This window comes from Homo sapiens, chromosome 4 (assembly GCF_000001405.40).
Source record: "Homo sapiens chromosome 4, GRCh38.p14 Primary Assembly".
NCBI lineage: Eukaryota > Metazoa > Chordata > Mammalia > Primates > Hominidae > Homo > Homo sapiens.
The window spans coordinates 2,283,808-2,303,956 of NC_000004.12; the positions used below are offsets into that span (position 1 = coordinate 2,283,808).

General features: G+C 55.6%; 1 protein-coding gene across 3 annotated transcripts in view, besides 5 other annotated features; it reads right to left on the reverse strand.

Annotated features, from left to right (window-relative positions):
• The window catches only part of ZFYVE28 (zinc finger FYVE-type containing 28), a 149,049-nt gene that overhangs the window by 14,211 nt on the left and 114,689 nt on the right, over positions 1 to 20,149 (reverse strand). The gene's annotated exons all lie outside the window — the stretch shown is intronic.
• Positions 1,659 to 2,160: an enhancer, noted in NCBI's record as "H3K4me1 hESC enhancer chr4:2287193-2287694 (GRCh37/hg19 assembly coordinates)". NCBI's record gives its function as "activates a minimal SCP1, AML or CMV promoter by ChIP-STARR-seq in primed H9 embryonic stem cells {active_cell/tissue: H9 hESC(primed)}" and the evidence as "EXISTENCE:reporter gene assay evidence [ECO:0000049][PMID:30033119]".
• Positions 2,161 to 2,660: an enhancer, noted in NCBI's record as "H3K4me1 hESC enhancer chr4:2287695-2288194 (GRCh37/hg19 assembly coordinates)". NCBI's record gives its function as "activates a minimal SCP1, AML or CMV promoter by ChIP-STARR-seq in primed H9 embryonic stem cells {active_cell/tissue: H9 hESC(primed)}" and the evidence as "EXISTENCE:reporter gene assay evidence [ECO:0000049][PMID:30033119]".
• Positions 4,511 to 5,033: an enhancer, noted in NCBI's record as "H3K27ac-H3K4me1 hESC enhancer chr4:2290045-2290567 (GRCh37/hg19 assembly coordinates)". NCBI's record gives its function as "activates a minimal SCP1, AML or CMV promoter by ChIP-STARR-seq in primed H9 embryonic stem cells {active_cell/tissue: H9 hESC(primed)}" and the evidence as "EXISTENCE:reporter gene assay evidence [ECO:0000049][PMID:30033119]".
• Positions 7,280 to 7,329: a silencer, noted in NCBI's record as "silent region_15163". NCBI's record gives its function as "represses an Ori minimal core promoter by ATAC-STARR-seq in GM12878 lymphoblastoid cells {active_cell/tissue: GM12878}" and the evidence as "EXISTENCE:reporter gene assay evidence [ECO:0000049][PMID:35858748]".
• Positions 14,408 to 14,507: a silencer, noted in NCBI's record as "silent region_15164". NCBI's record gives its function as "represses an Ori minimal core promoter by ATAC-STARR-seq in GM12878 lymphoblastoid cells {active_cell/tissue: GM12878}" and the evidence as "EXISTENCE:reporter gene assay evidence [ECO:0000049][PMID:35858748]".

A 20,149-nucleotide genomic window follows, 5' to 3' on the forward strand; every position in this document is an offset into this window, starting at 1 on the left:
CTGGAGTGCCAGGGAGGGTTCCTGGAAGGCGCAGCATGAGGACAGCTTGAATGAAAGCCAAGAGGTGGGAAGCAGCCGACAGACTGTAGGGAACCCCCTGGTGATGCTGGGAGAGACCAGGCAGAGGTTGAGGCTAAGCAGAGGCCCACTGGGAGGGCTGGACAGTTCGGACCTTGGCCTGTTGGTCAGTGCCCCCAGAGGATGCTCCACAGAACGCAATTCCCTGTAGGCTACACTTGAGGGAAAAAGAGTTTGAGGAACAGAGCACAGGTGCTCTCTTTCTTGGAGCCCCCGCATCCACATTCATTGACATCAATCGACAGCTCAGGCTCGCTGTGGAGCATGTGGCCACACAAGACCGGATTCACGTGTGTACGCAGTGGAGGGAGTCAGCCAGCCTGCAAATGAGTGTTCAGAAATGAGACCATTTCCCACCGTGATAAAGGCCGTGTCGCCCAGGCTGGAGCACAGTGGCGTGACCACGGCTCACTGTAACCTCAAGCTCCGGGCCCCACATGATCCTCCAACCTCAGCCTCCCAAAGTACTGAGATTACAGGTATAGGCCACCGTGGCTCGCCTGGGGCTTTGAAGACCATGATGGGGAGGAGGAGAGCGCGACGGGGCACAGTGGTGGACAACCCAGCTTTCAGAGGAAGCATTTTGGTGGAGATTTCACCAATGAGATGGAGAGGACCTCAGCAGCAGGAGCCCAAGATGGGCTGAGCACAGCCTCCCAGGAGTCAGAGGTGAAGGCCTTGCTGCCCGGTCACACTGGCCACCAGGTCAGGACAATCCCACAGTCCTGGACGCCTCTGGTTCCCCAGAGGAGTTGGAGCCTGCTGGGACATCTTGTCTCCTCTTATGGTGCCTCACAAAGACCTCCGGGGGGCTGAGTCTGCAATGCACAAGGCCTGGCTTTGACTTCCTCTGTGAGTCCTGGGATCAGGGAGGGCTGAGACACCCTTCCAGGAATCGGCTCTGGAACTGTCTGCCAAAGTCGTACCAGCTCAGCTCAGGCCACAGCGGAAACCAACAGCAGGTAGACCCCTCTTCTTGGCAGGTGCCCTGAGTCTAGTACGGCAAGGATTTAGCAGGGAGGCGCGAGTGTGCTGTTTGGGGTTGAATTGGGGCCCCCCAGCAAGCTCATATGTTGAAGTCCTAACCCCCAATACCTTAAAATGTGACCTTATTTGGAAACAGGGTCATTGCAGGTGTAACTAAAGTTAAGATAAGGTCATCCAGGAGTAGGGTGGGCCCTAAGCCAACTTGACTGGTGTCCTTACCCATGGGGAAAATTTGGGTGCAGGCCCACACCTGGGCAGAACCCCACGTGGACTGAAGGCAGGGACTGGAGTGATGCTTCTGTAAGCCAAGTACACACCCAAGATGGCCAGCAAGCCCCCTGAGGCTGGAAGGCAGCCCAGGACAGATTCTCCCTTATGGCCCCAGAAGGAACCAGCCCTGCTGACACCTTGATCTCGACTTCTGGCCTCCAGAACTGCAAGACAACAAACGCCCTCGTGATTTAACCCACCTTGCCGCGGTGCTTCGTCACAGCAGCCGGGGGAACTAACACGTGGCGCTGACCCCGCCATGGCGCCGGCCCCACTGTGGCTGCCAGGCCTTTGCACTGGTGTCAGCCCTAATAACTTCCAGCAGCAAGTAAGCTGATTTCTTCTGAGCAGGCTGGAATCTCCCTGCTTCCTTTCCTCTCCAGCCCCTTGCAAAGTCATTCTCTCTCGTGGTTTTCCTGTGTGACTCGCCTTCCCAAGGAAGTCAGTCTTCTCACCACAGCTCCTGACTGCAGCTCCACAGCCCCTGGGTTGAGCACAGGCTGGGACTGAGAAGGAGACGAATGCTGTTCCGTGACCAGGGCATCCTCAGAAGGGCCGCTGCCACTGTGGGCCAGAATGAAGGACAGAACCGAGGGACAGGAAGGAGGGCTGGGCCGGTCCAGGAGGGCAGGCGCCCATCCCAGAAACAGCTCAGCGGGAGGGAGGGAAATTGAAGCCGGGATCTCAGGGCTGCCCCGCCCTGGTCAGCTGGCCGGGGTCTGTGGTCCCCACAGGCAGGCACTAGCTTGGTCCGCAGGTCTCTCCTGGATGTGTCACCCGGTCTTGGCGCATTGTCTTGGAGCACCCTCCAATGTCCATATTCCTCCGGTCTCAGGGTGTGGGCACAGGTCCAGGGGTCCTTCCAGACACTCTGGGCCCAGTCACTGCTCCCCCACCCACCTCCAAACCTGCTCCATGCAGGCACTCTAGGGGGTGCAGGGACAGTGGCCTGAGATTTGCTGCTGCAGGACTTCGGTCCCTGTGGGGAGCATGGGGTCAGCGGCCAGAGAAGCGGCGAGAGGACAGCCCCCTGTACGGGCACTGGCTCACTCGCTCTCCCAGCATGGGCTGCATGGTCCCCACCCCTCAGCTTCTCCCTCCCGGCGCCCAGGCCAGCCCTGCTTCCTGCTAATGAGACCTAAGGGACCTCAGCGGGAGGATGCCAAAAAGGCAGCAGGTCAGAGGTCAGCCCCGAGGCCTGCCCTTTGCGGGGGTGGGAGGGGGCATCAGGCGTGGACGGGGACGCTGCCTCCGAGGATGTCAAGTGCTAAGCTCCACACCTGCCACAACTGCATCTCATAGTCTCTTCTCAATCAACAAGAAGCGATGAAATAAACGTCAGCCGCTCCAGACGAGAGCGCAGTCCACAGCACCTGGATTTCAGCCTGGGGAGACCCTGAGCACAGAACCCAGCTGTGCTGAGACAGGCATCTGACGCATGGATGCTGCAGGACCCTTACTCGGCATTGCTTATACACAGCCCAGCTAGCTGATGCAAAGCTGAGACGTGGGCTCTTGGTGGAGCAAATGCGGTCTCCAGTTCACCTATGCCAGGTGGGATTAGGGAAGGAGCTCAGCCCTTGGCTGCTGACTCTCCAGCCCCTGCTCTCTGCTGTGTCCTGAAGACAGGGTGGGGGGTGACGGGAGGGGTGAGGGGCTGGAGGCACAGGATTCAGACGTCACGGTGGGCTGAATGTGACCCCCAAAATGTGAATCTGCGACTGTGACCTTTTTTAGAAAAAGGTTGTTTGCAGATTTAATTAAGTTAAGGATCTTGAGATGAAACCATCCTGGACTATCTGGATGGATACCAACTCCAATAAATATCCTTACAAGAGACAGACACAGCGAGGGGCCAAGAGAAGACGGAGGCAGAGCTTGGAGTGACTTGGCCACAAGGCAAGGAAGTGCCAGGAGCCACCAGAAGCTGGAAGCGGCAGGAGGATCATCCCCTAGAACCTTGGGCTGCAGTGCCACCCCACCAGCGCCCTCATCTCAGATGCCTGCCTCCAGAACTGTAAACCAGCAAATCCCCACGGTTTTAAGCCTCCCAGCTCATGGGTGTTCTGTTACAGCAGCCCCAGACAGGCATCTAGAGGTGGAATCTGTCATCTGATCCTAAGAGCATCTCTCACCCGCTGGGCGACCCTGGGCAGGTTATGTGGTCCAGAGCTTTGCTGCCTGAGCCACAGACACGGACAGTAAGATAGCCACTGACGGGTCAGACAAGTGAGATCCTCTCAGCGGCGTGGGTGCAGTGCAGATGCAGCAAGGGCCTCGGGCCTCACGTGCAGCAGCCGTAGGATGGGCTGAACGAATCCTGGCTTAAGCCCCTGAAGGGCCTCTGAGTTTGCAGTCACTGTTTCAACATCCAGGGAAAGTGCTTTGCGAGGAGGCGTTGATTTGCTGTATTCCTTCCACAAATCTTCCTTTCTCTGCGGTGACTGACGTGGAGGTGGCTGCGGCTGGTGTTCCCTCTACAGAGGCCAGCAGACATCACAGATTTCCAGGACGTCTGGAGCTAAGGGGAGGAAGGGGTGTCCCAGGCGCCCTTGGGATCTCTTTAGGTCTCTGGAAGGGAGACAGCCCCTCCCTGCCCCCGCCCTCCCAGTGCCTTTTGTGATGTGGACACCGCTGTGCGTCAGCAGTGGGGGCTGCAGGGCGAGGGGGGCACTCTGAGGGGGCAGGGGGAGTCACCGTAGGACCCGCAGTTTGGTTCCAAAGTACTGAACATAAGGAGACACTGGATATGGATGTGTGAATGCTCTGAAAATTAGCTATTTTCCCATCTCCTCTAATTTAGCAGCATTGCCTTGATGTCTCTTGGGATTCAGTTAGGAACACGAATTCCTTTATGTTTTTCACACTCCCTCCACCCCCACTCCTGTCTGGCCGGGCCCTATCGAGGTGCAGTGGGCCTCGGAAGGCAGAAGCAACTGGCCTGTGGTCAGATGCCCAACACCCCCACGACAGCAAGGCACAGTCACCATACAGCAGGGAGGGCTTCCTGGAGGAGGCGGCCTGGCCTGAGCAGAGATATGGCCCTACCCAGCCCTGAGTCCATGAAGGCCCGAGGACCTGCATCACCTCCCAGCCATGATCACTGGGTACAGGGCCTCCATCTCCTAAGCCCCCCTGTGGCCCCAGAGCTGGCTCCCAGGAAAACCAACAGGTGACACTAGAACGGAACCTCATCTCTAATGAGGGCAAGTCCTGATCTGTGCAGTGAGGGGGTGGGCCAGGTGAGCACCTGCTACACAGTGGGGGAGCATCGGGCCCTGGGCTGGGTGCTGGGGCCACAGTGGAGCAGCAGCGCCTGCCTCCGAGGGGCTCTGGGCTGGCAATAAGAGGAGACCCCCGAGGGGACCTGGGCACGTGGCTGCTGCTCCAAGGGGAGGTCCTGCCATGGGGAGGGTGTCTCCAAGCTGGGTTGGTGAGTCACAGGTTAGGCAGTGTGAGCTGAAGGCCCTTGGGCATCACCACCTCTGCCATGTGGGCAGGGAACTTAACCTCCCAGGGCCTTAGTTTACTTGTCTGTAAAACGGGAAAGTGAGGCTGGGCACAATGGCTCACGCCTTTAATCCCAATACTTTGGGAGGCCAAGGCAGGAGGATCATTTGAGTCCAGGAGTTTGAGATCAGCCTGGGTAACACAGTGAGACCCTGTCTCTACTAAAAGTTAAAAAAAAAGATAGCTGGGCATGGCAGCACATGCCTGTGGTCCAAGCTACTCGGGATCACTTGAGCCCAGGAATCCTAGGCCGCAGTGAGCCATGATTGCACCACTGCACTCCAGCCTGGGTGGCAGAGTGAGACCCTGCCTCAAAAATTAAATTAAATTAATAAAATAGGAGTGCTAAGGCTGGGCATGGTGGCTCATGCCTGTAATCCCAACACTTTGGGAGGCCAAGGTGGGAGATCACTTGAGGCCAAGAGTTCGAGACCAGCCTGGCCAACATGGCAAAACCTAGTCTCTTCTAAAAATACAAAGGTTAGCTGTGGGGGTGGCAAGTGCCCGTGGTCCCAGCTAGTCTGGTGGCTGAGGCATGAGAATTGCTTTAACCTGGGAGGCAGAGGTTACAGCGAGCCAAGATCATGCCATTGCACTCCAGCTTGGGTGACAGTAAGACCCTGCCTCAATAATTAAATTAAATTAATAAAATAAAACAGGAGCACGATACTGCCCACACAGATTCCTTCGAACAAGGGTGCCCCTCAGCAGGGGTGGAGTAAGTGGGCACTCAGGTCCTGGGTGTGGCCCTGGGCCGCGTAACACAGGCTGTAGCACAGCCTCCCCAAAGTGAGGGGGGTGGTATGTGACAAAGGCTGAGGCCACTGGGCCAGACCTCAGGGCCACAGCCTCCTGCCACCTGCTGTCATCAAAGAGGCCAGCCCTCTGGAGGGTCAGGCAGGGGGTGGGCACGGAGCCAGGTGCAGCCCCACACTGTCAGCAGCCCCATCGCCCCCTGGGGTGATCCTCCTGCCTCGGGTCCCAAAGCAATGGGATTACAGGTGTGAGCCACAGCACCTGGCCTCACCTTCCCATTTTACAGACAAGTAAACTGAGGTGCTGGGAGGTTAAGTTCCCTGCCCAGACGGCAGAGGTGACACAGCTTACCACAGCCTGCGGGGGCCTGTGCATCGTGCTCCAGGACACTTGTGGACTTGGGGCTCAGGAGGTCCCAGAGATGTCTCTGGTCAGTCATCACGGTGGTGTCCAGAAGAACTCGGCGAACCTGAGTTCCCCTGAGCCCCCGATCCTCATCACCCACAGGGGACAGCCAGGCTGTGGCCAGCACTCCTCACCCCAGGGATGCTCTGCAGAAGCTCAGGGGGAGGACAGACACAGACAGACAGTGGACAGGCCCAGGGAGCCGCTGTCCTTGCGGAGGCCAGCCCAGCTCAACAACTGACAGACAGCCAGGCCTCAGCCAGCAGCGTGATGGCAGGCCCCGTCAGAGCCACCCCCCGGTCACCAGGCCCCCAGCCTGTGCCCCAGGGGACTCACGTGCAAGATCTCCTCAGGGGACAAGGCCGCCCATGCTGGCAACCCGGAGCCCAGAGAGAGCAGCCCATATGGGGATGGCCCGGCAGTCCCCAGGACCATGCCACCTGGAAGGTGTGTGACCACAAGCCTGCCTGCCTTCTCCGAGGAGCTGGGGTCTCCTCAGCTACAGAACAGGGTCTCGAACTCTTGGCCTCCCAAAGTGTGATCCTTCAGAGGATCACAATGTGCCTGGTGAGACAGGCAGGTTGCAGGCCCCAAGGGCCACTTTGCCAGTCGTCATGGTGACCCCTCCATGATCCCGTAGCTACCCTGACACTCCTGTCTGTTGGCCCTCTCCAGCTTTGTCCTCTCGTGAGGATGCAACGCTGCTCACTGATGGCCCCCAGGAGATGTCTCCAAAAGCCGGGGGCCATGGGGGCAGGTGCAGCAGAGCAGGACACGACCACACCTGCCCCCTGGCCCCAGAGCAGCTGCTGACGTCCACGGCTCACCAGGTCCTTCAAGAAGTCAGCTCCTCTGGGACGGCCTCACCCCTCTCCTGCTGTGGGGCAGGGGCCAGGCCAGGGCTGGGCCAGGGGCCAGGCATCGCCTTGGGGTGCTCACCTGGCTCCTTGCTTCCCCTATTAAGTCCAAGCACAAGCCGAGCAGTGGTGGGGAGGGGTGGGGGCCATAATCTGGTCCCTCCTGGCCCAGCCCTGCCTGGCCAAGATCTGGACTCTGGGGACACAGTGAAGCCCAGGCCTAGACACAGCCCAGCTCTTGAAAAGATCCCACTATTATTATGGTCTGGGAAACTATCCCTTTATGTTTTTCTTCGTAATTACATAAGCAATACATGTGCACCCTAAAAAAATGAGGAAATGCAGATTAGCGAAGAGTGCCTGCACGTGTGCTCCTGCCCCCGGCACACGAGCGGGAGGAGCTCCTGTCGCCCTTCTCGTCTCGCACCTTGCAGGCGCTTTTGCTGCTTTAAAAAGCTCTCTGAACAGAAGCCACCACAACTGGCGAGTCTCAGAGAGGTGGGTGAAGTCAGCTGAGGACGGCATCCTGGTCTCCGGCTGCAGCATCACCGCGGTTGAAACCCGCTTCCTCTTGCTTTCGGCTCAGTGAAGGTGGGAGGAGATGCTTGGCTTTCGAGAAGGGGCTGTTCCCCCTGGAATTTTCCTGGTCCCATGGGGTGGAGGAAAACGACCCCTTGAGAATGCTTCCTGGAGCCACTGGGGAGCAAGTGGCTGGCACCTTCTCACCTTCTTGGGCTCACGGGGAGGCCCCATCCCCTTCTAGGCTCCCCGAGGAGGGGCCAATGCTTACCAAGCAGGCTCCACTGCAGCCAAAGCCCCCGCTTCCACCCCTTGACGGGCTCCCTGATGCTGCCAGGAGCAGGGAGTAGGGCCGGAAGTGGCCCTGAGTCCCCTCTCTCTCCACCTCAGACACTGCTGTGTGCCTCACTGAGACCTGTCCTGAGGGACAGGGCTGGGGGTCCTGGGGTCAGGAGAGCGGGAACTGAGAGCTGCACCTCAAGGGGCAGCACTACAGGCCTGGACTCTGCCCAGCTCCTTCTCCTGGAGCCCCCCTCGGAATGGCAGCCTGCCACACTTGCCGATGCCCATCCCACTCCCCACACGCCTGGCTGGTGGAGGACATGAACCCTGCCTGGGTGGGCCCCAGCGTCTGTGCCCTGGGAGGCTGAGGCTGGACAGCCACCAGCCAGTCCATGGTGCTGCACTGGGCCAAGGAGCTAGGGTGGGGAGCAGAGGGGGCCGGGCTGCAGGGCAGGAGTTGCAGGGAGAGTCAGGGATGTGAGTGTCTCAATGGGCCAGGCTCCAGCACGTCCTCCCAGGCCTTGCTGCCTTCCAGCCCTCAGTGCCACCTCCTTTCCACTTAGCCTAGAGCCAGCACGTCCCCCAACCAGGCTCCTCAGTCACATCCAGGTGCTCTGGGACACAGCATGGGGGGCTGGGAGGACACCATGCTGCAGAGCCTGAGAGGCACAGGCTGAACCCTGGGATGGGTCCTGCAGGCGGCCGGAGAGCTGGGTTGGAAGGGATGGCCCAGCCATGAAGCGAACAGGAATGCCACAGACATGGAGATGCCCACCTTGAAGGCAGCTGTGGGACTCAGTGAGACCCAGCTGGCAAAGCTCCCTACATCTTCGTCCAGGCAGCCATGGGCTGAACGATGGTGGCTCCATGCCAAAGGGACAGGGAGGGAGGCCACAGCATAGGGCAACGCTAGGTCGAGGGGCAGACAGGGACAGGAATAGGAGGGCACAAGGGGTCTACAAGCAGGTCCCCTGGTTTGGCATGGACAAGGGAAGCCGATTGCAGGGGCAGGGCTGTGGCGAGGGCCAGATCAGGTCATCGAGTGCCTGATAACAAGTCAGTGCCTCTGAGGGGACGTCAGGAGGATGGAGCAGGGTCAACGGATTACTCAACACTGCAGCAAAGAAACTCCATTCACGGAATAAGATGATAATTCAACAGACAGTCTGCTAGAAAGACATTGATTTTGTAGTCAAAAATCTTCGCACAAAGAAAACTCCAGGCCCAGATGGCTTCCCTGGTGAAGTCTGTCTCACATTTCAAGCAGAAATAATGCCCGTTCTACACAAGCTCTTCCAGAAACCCGAAGAGGTGGAGCACTCCCCAGCTCCTCCTGGACAGCCATGCTCCTGCACCAGAAAAAGGCATGACAAGAAGACGGCTGCCTGACAGTCCTCTCAGACAGATGCAAAATCCTACTGAAGTTCAGCAAATCAAAGCCAACAGTAAATTCAAAGGCTAATACCTCATGACCATGTACAGTTTGCCCCAGGACTGCAAGGCTGGCCGAACATCTGAACATCAATCATTGTGACTTATTACATTAATAGGCTAAACAGGAGAACCATGTGATTACGTCAAAGAATGCAGAAAAAGCATTTGAGAAAATCCAACATCTGTTCTTGATTAAAAAAAAAAAAAACCTCTTAGCAAATTAGGAATAGGAGAGAACTCCTTTTTTATTTGAGAAGATGAAGGTCATCTGTGAAAATCCTACAGCTCAAATCACACTTAACAGTAGATACTGAATGCTTGGGAATAAGGCAGAATCATCCTGTTTCATTGTTTTCATTCGACGTTATACTGGAGGTTCTGGCTGGTTAAAAAACACAAGAAAAAGGAATACATATAGGACGTACAATTGAAAACAAGCAAAACTGCTTTTCTTCTCAGATGACAAGATCATCTATGTAGGAAAACTGATGAAATCTTTGAAAAAACCATAACTAATAAAGTGAGTTTAGCAAGATCAATCTGGAAGATTAATCTTCTAGAAGATCAGCCGGGTATGGTGGCTCAAGCCTGTAATCCCAGCACTTTGGGAGGCCGAGGCAGGTGGATCACGAGGTCAGGAGATCGAGACCATCCTGGCTAACACGGTGAAACCCCGTCTCTACTAAAAATACAAAAAATTAGCTGGGCGTAGTGGCAGGCACCTGTAGTCCCAGCTACTCGGGAGGCTGAGGCAGGAGAATGGCGTGAACCCAGGAGGCAGAGCTTGCAGTGAGCCGAGATCACACCACTGCACTCCAGCCTGGGTGACAGAGCAAGACTCCATCTCAAAAAAAAAAAAAAAAAAATCTTCTAGAAGATCTACAAAAATCAGTTATAGCTATATTACCAATGAACAATTACAAATTAAAATTATAAAACAAACCAATTGACAATGGCATCACAAAATATAGAATACTTGAGGATTCATCTGACAAAAGATGTGCAAGACCTGTACAGTTAAAAACCATAAAACTTTGCTGAGATAAATTAAAGGCCTAAATAAATAAAGAGATATACTATGTTTATGAACCAGAACTATTATTAAGATGCTAATTCTTTCCAAATTACTACATAGATTCTACATAATCCCAATCAAAATCCCAGCAGGCTTTTTTTTTTTTTTTGGTAAAAGTTGACAACCCTAAAATTCACATGGAAACAGAAAGGAGACAGAATAGCCAAAACAACCTTCAAAAGAAGATAAAGCTGGGCACTTGCACTTCCAACTAAGGCTTATTATAAAGCTACCATATTTAGGACAGTGTGGCATTGGTGTCAATACAGGCAAATAGATTAATAGAACAGACTGGAGAGTTCAGATGTAAACCCACCCCATGTGGTCAGCTGAAGATAAAAATGCAAAGGCAATTCAGTGGAGAAGGAATAGTCTTTCCCAACAAATAATTCTGGAATAATTGACTTTCCTTATGCAAAACAAAAATTGATCCATGCCTCACACCATATACATGAGTTACTTCAAATGGAATACTGTATAGATCTAAATGTAAAACCTAAAAGCATAAGACTTCCAGAAGAAAACATAGAAAAAAATTTTTGTGACTGTGGGCTATGAAAATAATTCTTAGATATGGCACCAAAATCACAATTCATAAAATAAAAAATTGATAAATTGTACTTCATCAAAATTAAAAAGTTTTGCTCTTCAAAAGATACTGTTAGAATGAAAAGACAAGACAAGATTGGGAGAAAATATTTGAAAATCACATAACAGAATTATATCCAGAATATATAAAGAACTATCAGTACTCAATATGGATAAACAACCCAAGTGAAAGAAACAGCAAAAGATGTCAACAGACGCTTCACCAAACAACCAATGACAAATAGCACATGAAGCGACGCTTGAGTCGATGAGGTGGTGTGCCTGTAGTTCCAGCTAATTGGGAGGCTGAAGTGAAGTAGGAGGATTGCTTGAGCCCAGGAGTTCAAGGCCAGCCTGGGCAACATAGCGAGACCCTGTCTCTAAAAAATTACTTAAAAAAAAAAAGATTTTCAACATTATTATTCCTCAGAGAAATGCAAATTAAAACTACAACGAGGTACCACTTCACACCTATCAGAATGGCTAAAAAGCCCACCATACCAAGTGTTGACAAGGACACAGAGGAACTGAACTCTCATATGCTGTTGTTTATCATATGCCAATCATATTTCAATAAAGCCATTTACAACATTTTTTTGTTTTCGTTTTTTGAGATGGAGTGTCACTCTGTTGCCCAGGCTGGAGTGCAGTGACGCAATCTTGGCTCATGGCAACCTCTGTCTCCCAGGTTCAAGTGATTCTCCTGCCTCAGCCTCCCAAGTAGCTGGGATTGCAGGCACCTGCCATAATGCCCAGCTAAATTTTGTATTTTTTTTTTTTTTAGTAAAGACGGGGTTTTACCATGTTGGCCAGGCTGGTCTCAAACTCCTGACCTCAAGTGATCTGCCTGCCTCAGCCTCCCAAAGTGCTGGGATTACAGGCATGAGCCACCATGCCCAGCATTTACAACAATTTTTAAACCACCAGACCACTTCACCGCCATGCTCACGTTACCGCCTCTGATGCCGTTCCTTCTCTCAGAAAAGTCTTTCCTGCCCACCCTGCCCACAAAGCTCTCTGAGATTTCCTGCTCCCCACCCCCGACCTCCTTCTGCCCTGCTCCCTGTCCCCTCTGCTCCTTCCCAGCACCTCGGCCCTCACAGGTCCTGCCACCTGGGCACCTTTCCTCCAGCCCCTTCCCTTCATTCAGGCCTCAGCAAATGTCAGCGCCTGCAGGAGGCCTCCCCAGATTGCTCTCACAAAAGGAGCTGCCTCACTGGCACCCTTCACCTCATGAAACAATTCTAATTTCTTTCCAGCACTGGCCAGAGGACCAGGTAGGGGGCGTGAGGGAGAGAGGATGGTGAGGGGCTCCTTCCATGTAGCCGCAGCTGCTTGCAGGTGGTGCCCTTGAGTGGATGGTGATGGTGGGGAAGGATCAGGGTGGCAGATGTCGCAAGAGGTGCGGGGTGCGGTCCAGAGGCTAGGGGAGAAGCTGTGGTCACCAGGGAACAGAGGGCCTGTAAGGATGGGCCCTGGGTGGGGTCATGAGGACATGTGGGGGACCTGCGGTAATGACCATCCCCTCAGCCAGGCCTCCCCGAGAGCACAGCCAGGCTGGGGCCTTCTCTCCAGCTCTAGGCCAGCTGTGAATTGGGAGGAGGCCCATCTGCAAGAAGGGTGGCACCTCCTCCCAGGACTTTGCTGGCCTGCGTGCCTACTGCATCCAGGCCACCACTCAGGGCCTTGCAGGGCGATCACTGTCCCTTGTGGGGTTCTGGTGACACAGGCATCACCGAGCTTGCTAAGGTTTCATGCCTGGGGCCAGCGAGAGCAAGAACCCAGCCCTGCCCTCTCACCTGGGCCTGTGCACGGCGGACCAGCCCTGGTCTTATCCCCGACTCACCGTGTCAGCCCAGGAGGCCCCGTCACTTATAAACGATTGGCTTAATGACAGTCATTACACCTAATCTGTTTTTCAAGAGTCTAATTAATTCCAAGTCCTCCTCTATTTTTAAACCCCTCAATCATTCTTGTTTTTCCTGCCAGGGGCATGAAGTGGGTGGAAGGTCTCGGTGTTCCCTGCAGGACCTCGGGACACCTGCTTTAGGGACCAATGGCTGCAGCAGCCTAGCAAGCACCTGCCACCGGGCCCCAGACAGTCTGGGGGAAATGGCAGCCGTGTGAGCCTCCCAGTGAGGGGGAGGGGAGGCCCGCGGGGCGGCACCTGCTGCTCAAGGTCACAGGCACTGGAGCAAGGCCGGGCTGCCTCAGTCCCAGACCTGTCACTCCGTCCCCTTGTCCTGCAGTGGGTCCACTGGGGAGCCCCCGGATCCGGAGAGCCCCCACAGCCCAGCAGCTCAGCCTTCTACCTGGAGGCTGCCTGTGTCCTCTGAGCCCCCAGAAGAGCTCCACACTAGGGCCGGGCCACTGAAGGCTCTGTCAGCCCTGACTGCGCTGCAGGGAGGGAAGCGTGGGCTTCCGGGCCACCGAGGCCACAGCACCGCATGGCCCTTGGTTGAGGCCCCACCCAGGGAAGGGGCTGAACACCTGTCTGCTGGTGGGAAAGCCGAATGGTGGATGTGGGAACGAAGCACATCAGAAGTGCCAGCCCAGCAGCAGGTGACTCCCCACGCAGCGGCGCCTTCACTGATGTGCCAGCTACAACCTGCCCTCCTCTGGGCTGCGCACCGGGAGCCAGGCTGGGGGCCACAGGACCCTCTGTGTCATGGCCTGGAGGGGCCCAGGAGGATTTGCAGCAGCGACCTCACCATGGGGCAGAGGGTCAGCAGGCCCGGGAGAGCTGCAGCCACCTCGGGATAGACCGGCTGCAGGCTCTCCTCCGTGACACCTCTGAGCCCTGTCCTCACACTGGCAGAGGGCAGAGGAGCTTGGTGGAATGACCCCAGGCCACACGGAGGAGTCGCCAGGTGGGGCGCGGTGGGTGGATGTTCAAGCTGGAGGCCAGGACCCACTGTCCGGGAGCGAGGTCATGAAGCGCCACTGCAATGCCTGATGCCACCCGGGATAGCTGTCACCGCCAGAAGAGCGGGGGACAGAGATGTGAATCCAGGAAACAATGAAATCCAGAGGCAAAGCCAAGACTGATCATGGCAAAGATGGCCAGGAACAGCTGCAAGCGCAATCTGGGAGCAAGGTGAGCAGTGACAGTGGGGTGACACGGTGATATAGCGACATGGTTGGCTGTGCTGGGAGGAACGGCAGAGGACGAGCAGTGACAGTGGGATGACACAGTGACACAGTGACACGGCGGGCTGTGCTGGGAGGAACGGCAGAAGACGAGTGGTGACAGTGGGGTGACACGGTGACACAGTGACACGGCGGGCTGTGCTGGGAGGAACGGCAGAGGACGAGCGGTGACAGTGGGGTGACACAGTGACACAGCAGGCTGTGCTGGGAGGAACAGCAGAGGACGAGCAGTGACAGTGGGGTGACACGGTGACACAGTGACACGGCAGGCTGTGCTGGGACGAACAGCAGAGGACGAGCAGTGACAGTGGGGTGACATGGTGACACAGTGACACGGCAGGCTGTGCTGTGAGGAACGGCAGAGGACGAGTGGTGACAGTGGGGTGACACGGTGACACAGTGACACGGCGGGCTGTGCTGGGAGGAATGGCAGAGGACGAGCGGTGACAGTGGGGTGACACAGTGACACGGCAGGCTGTGCTGGGAGGAACAGCAGAGGATGAGCGGTGACAGTGGGGTGACACGGTGACACAGTGACACAGCGGGCTGTGCTGGGAGGAACGGCAGAGGATGAGTGGTGATGCGTGAGGAGTGCATCCTGCCATGTAGCTGGGGCCTGCTGTTGGTCCGTTTTGCATATGACAAAACTGAGGCTCAGGCTGAGCAGTCGGTTCACCAGGCACTGCCTTTCCCCTCACATCTGCGTATGGAGCAGGGCACTCCCCACCATGACTCCAGCGATTCCTCTAAAAGGGATATCCCTCAGTGTCTGTCATCTGTCTGCCACTGCCAAGTTCCGGAAGGAAGGCGCACACAGGCGGGGCATGTGCCACAGGGTTGGGGCAGAGGCTTGGCCACTGTCTGTCCTGAGAAGCCTGTGAGACTCCTACCATTCTACCTAGAGCAACGGCCAGAGAGGATGCTGAGCACGGTGGACAAGTGGCAGGGAAGGGAGGACTCAAGTACAGTCACAGAGGCGCCCGACTGCACGACGGAGCAGGCCTGGCCTTGCCCCCGTGGGACGGACAGTGACAGGCTCTGAGACCTCCCTAAGCCAGCGCCCGGGCAGCCTTGACCGTGTGTCAGGACGGCCACAGCCTCCGTCAGTCCCACTCTGATGCACAGAGGCCCTTGCGCTGGTTCCAGCCTCCTCCCGACTAGTCATCGGGGCTGCAGGATTGATGGCAAAAAACAAAACCCAGGCCACCAGAGATGAGAAGAACATTCCCCGGCCCCACCACAGAGGAGCAGCGCGCCTCGCACCACACGCGATCAACCAGAAAGGCAGAGGAACAGACTTGTTTCTAGAATTTCTATAAACTTAATTACACAAGATAAAATTGAGGACATCTGCAAATCAAAAGACATTCAAAAACAAAGTCAAAGGGCAAGAACAACTTGGAGAAAGCCACCAACAGACCAGACGGAACATTTTCAAGTCCAAAAAGCGTGACATCCCAGCTGAAAAACAGCAGAAAACACAGTCACTTCCCAGAACGAAAAACGCAGGCGCTAACAGAACAACTGCCCAGGTTGGCAGTGATCAGAGGGGGCAAACCTCAGGAACAGCGAAGGGTACTCCGTTTTTCCCCCTCAAGTTGGAGTTGGAAGTGTTGGCGAGGGATGGCACTGCTGGGGGTAATCAGCTCTTTCTGGAAAGCAGTTTGACAGTGAGTGGCAGAGCTTTAAAAGGCTTCATACCTTTGCTGTGGTGATTCTACTTCTAAGGACCAATTCTAAAGAAATAATCCAAGGCTGGGCACAGCGGCCCACACCTGTAATCTCAGCACCTTGGGAGGCTAACACAGGAGGACAGCTTGAGCCCAGACAGGGAGCTGTGTTTGTGCCACTGCACTCCAGCCTGGGCAACCAAGGGAGACCCTGTGGTTAAAAAGAGAAAAGAGAAGGAAGGGAAGGGAAGGGAGGGGAGGGAGGGAGGAAGGAAAGAAAAGGAAGAAAGAAAAAGAAAAGAGAATCCAAGAGGCAGACAAAAAACCATAGAGGAAACTATAAAACCATGTTCAGTGGAAAAAAAAATAAAACTGTTCATAAGATTTGGGGTGATATTTATTTCCTTATTTGTTTTGTTTTTTAAAAAGATAGGGTCTTACTCTGTCACCCAGGCTGCAGTACAGTGGTACAGTCATAGGTCACTGCAGTCTCCACCTTCTGGGCTCAAGTGATTCTCCTGCTTCAGCCTCCAAAGTAGCTGGGACTACAGGCCCACGCCACTGCACCTGGCTAATTTACTTTTACTTTTCATGAGATGGGGTCTTGCTATGTTGTCCAGGCTGGCCTTGAACTCCTGGCCTCAAGCAATACGCCTGCCTCAGCCCCCAAAGTGCTGGGAATACAAGCATAAGCCACCAGACCCAGACTTTCCTTCTTATGTTTTCCAAAGTTTCTACAATGAACAGGGACCACATCTATAATTAGCAAACAGGGAGTCAGTGTTACTTTTTGCAGAAGGCAAAGGCTGGAAATCCACTTCATGGTGTCCCTGGAAGGAACAGACAACCAGCCTGAGTGGACTTTCTGTCATCTAGACAAGTAACTTCCAAGGGTGACTTCGAGAGGACGGAAGGTTCTGGATCAAAGAGGTAAGGCTAGCTGAAGGGAAAATAAGCTTTTAAAAAATGTCAACTTCTCCAAAAGGATTCATTGACCACTGAGAAGGTCGGAAAGAAGCCAGTAAAATGAAAAGAGCTGAAGGGCGTAGGTTCCAGAACATTCACATCTGCAAGGCTGATTCACTGCTGTCTGTCGAGGACGATGTCCGGACTCCCAGGTGACAGCACCTGAGGAAACGCTCCAGAGAGGGGCTCCTCCTGGCTGGGACCCTCACGCCAGGACTCCAGTGGGCCATGTGCCAACCCACCTCCTGCGTGCATCCGTCCCCTGGCTGGTGGCTGGGAAGCCCTGTCCTTCCTCCTGGAGGCTGTCGTCTGCCTGGCCAGAAACACAGGCTCCAGGGGTCTCGGGGGAATCTCACAGGCTGGTCGGCCGCAGCTCCACACATTTCCTTCATTTGCAGTACACGGAGACGCGACTCGCACGTGAGACTGGAAGCCGTGAATCAAGGCCGTGCCCACTGTTCCCTCTGAACCGTCCACGCCACAACCACAGGGGCTGCAGGGGCGTCTGCCGGGCGAGCGGGTCTCACGGCCAAACAGGCCCGGGCTCTTCCAGATGCTCTCAGCTGAGGCAAATACCACCCTCTCCGTCTCAGTCTCTCCCACTGCAGAATGGGAGGCGTAACCAAACACAGCCACACCTGTGCACACGACCGGCCTCGCACAAACGTCACTTAACACCAGCCATGCTTCCTGACACGGGGCTGTTTGAATTTGGGTGAACTTTCTGTGTGTGTGAAGCTGGTCTCCTGTGTCTGTCTGTTTAAAAACCCCCACTGCGCTATCACCCCCGTATTGGTGTGAGGTGACACCTGGGAGGACAGGCTATGTCTCTTGTTCCTTGGTGGGTCTCCGGTGCTTGGCCCAGCCACCCCGGAACATGCTTGAGACACAGATGAGTGGGGGAATGAATGATGCTCCCACGGTGCACACCGCCTGTGCCTTGGATGGGACAGCTGCCATGTGCTGCCGCCCGCTGACCTGATTTCCAGCTACCTCCGGGCACAGTGCTGGGCCCAGGCACTGACCTAAATTGAACCGAACATGTACTGTCCTGATCACCCTGTGATGTGCTTGCTTTCTCGGATCCTCAGCACTGCCAGAAACGCTTCCCTGGAAGATGACACCACCACCTGGGCTCCTTCCCTTTCCTCAGCTGAGCCTCAGCGTCTGTGCTGAGCTGCATAAGGCCTGGGAAGCTGAGGCCGCGTTAAGAGGCTGTGTCCATCATGGGGCACAGAGCTCACGCCAGGAAGGTGGGAGGAGCTTCTGGAGGGGGTGGGCGTCCACTGGCTGTCACCTGGACAACCCCCCACCACCCCCAGCAGCAAAAGATGTGCAGGCCCCAAACCAAAAACTCTCCCACTTATCCTGTCAAAGAATTTCTGATGGTTTCATGTCAAACTCGGAGAAAAACGATCCATTGCCAGTGAACTGGGTCTGAGCCCCTGAGGAAAGCATCCAGTAGTGGGGAAAAGGTGCTCTGCCTCACACGGCCGTGAAGCTCATGCTGCATCTCAAAAACGGCCTCACCCAAAAGAAAGAGGAGAGGCTGTTCGCGCGAGGCTGTTCATCGTGGCACGTCTGTGACAGGAAAAGCCTGGAAACAAGCCCAAGCCAGCACTTGGGCCCGAGTGCACGCCAGGCCAGCCTCGCATGAGGCCCTGCCCCGCAGTGAAGGGAAGCAGGACATCTCTAGCAAGCACTGGAGCGGCTCGGGCAGAAGGCCAGGAGAGCGAGGTGGGGGCGAGTGCTTGTAGCAGGAGGCCCTTCACCAAATACGGGGATGGGGGATACGCGGGTGTGTATCTGAACATCCACTCATGTGCCTTTGCTTACATTTTTGAAAATTGAAGAATATACTATAAAACATTCTTCAACTGTTCCCTTTGGGGGCAGGGGAGAAAAAGGTTCCTTCAGACAGACTTCTCTGGGTCTATCTTATTTATAGATTTGACTGGGAACCACACAAATATAAAGTTGAATCAGCTGTCAATGGCAAGTTCTACACACATAATGCTGAATGAGACCAATGAACCTGCTGTGAGGAAATGGTGTCCAGTGGCCTTAGAGACATCAGCTGACTGCTGACGAGTGGGGCATGCCCTAAGGACAAAACAAAGACAATGACCAGTGTAAGGAAGGACTTGGGAAACTGGAACCCACATCCACAGCTGCCTGGATGCCAACTGCAGCCACGTTAGAAAGTAGTCTGGCAGCTCCTCAAAATGCCACACACAGAGTGACCACATGATCCGCAATTCCGCTCACAGGGATCCACCCAGATGAGCTGAAGACCTGTGTCCACACAAAAACTTGGACGAAAATTTTCATCACATCCATAACCTAGAAACAACACATCCACCATCCACTGGTGAGTGAAGAAATGAAAGACGGTCTCCCCATGCAGTGAGCGTGATTCAGTCATAAAAAGGAACGGCGTGTTGCCGTGTGCCTCTACATGGTGGCCCTTACAGACGTTACGTCTGGTGGACGAAGCCGGACCCTGGAGGTCACACACCACAGATGTTTCTCGACTTAACCCATCGTATCCTAAGTCAGAAATGCATCTGACCCTCCTAGCCTTCAAAACGCGGAGGACGGTTCCTGCCGCGCCCTCGTTAAGCCGAGCCATCGTAAGTCTGGAACCACCTGTACGTGAATGTGTTAACAGGAAATGTCCAGAAGAGGCGAACCCATCGATGGAAAGTGACTGAGGCTCCCAGGGCCTGATGGGGAGTGGGGAGGGACACCGGGAACCAGGCCCAGCCCACCCAGCCCGCAGCACAGGAAAGAGCTGCAGGGAGGCCCTGAGTCCTGAGTGGGCAGCGGAAAGGAAGAACGGCCTGACCGTCACGGGACCCTGGTCACTCCCACTCCTCCAGCGAGCTCACGACCTGGGAGGACCGAGCACGGGAAGAAGGAGGCGTCTGCCCGCCACCAAGAACCCCCTTCCCCAGTGTGAGGACCCTCTCCTGGGCCTGCCTGCCATCCTTCAACGCAGCCCCTCACTCCTGCATCTGTGCCCCCCACCTTCATCCCCATCTGCTGCCCGGCTCCCACGGCTCCTGGTGGGGGCTTTTCTGGTCTCCAGTTGAACCTCGTCCCCTCCCTGTCCTCCGTCTCTCTTCCAGTTAGCGAGGCCTATAGACACGGCCACAGCCAGAGTGGGAGCCCTGTAGGGCAGGGTCCTGGCCAGGGGGTCAATGGCCCTGACAACGCAGCCATGAGTGACCCTGGGCTGGGCCCAGCCCCTGCCTTTCCCTCCCTGTCTCCAGAGTGGGGGATGGGAGCCCATGAGAAGAGATAGGAGACCTCCCCATCTCCCCCCAGTGCAGGGCAAGGAGGAGAGAGTCCTGGGAGGGGCAGAGGCCCTGGGAACACCCCTGGGAATTTGCCCATGGGTGGTCTCAGCACCCCTCATGGCCCCAGTCTCCGCGCCCACGGCCACGGGTCTGCGTCTCGTTTCAGCCCGGTGTGAGCCAGGCAGCCACAGTGGTCAGCAAAGAGAAGTGGGCAGTGCGCTCGGATGCGGCTCAGGGCAAGGGGCCCGGCGCTGGCACAGCCCGCTCCCACTGCCCCGCACAGGCACGCGGCTCACACCA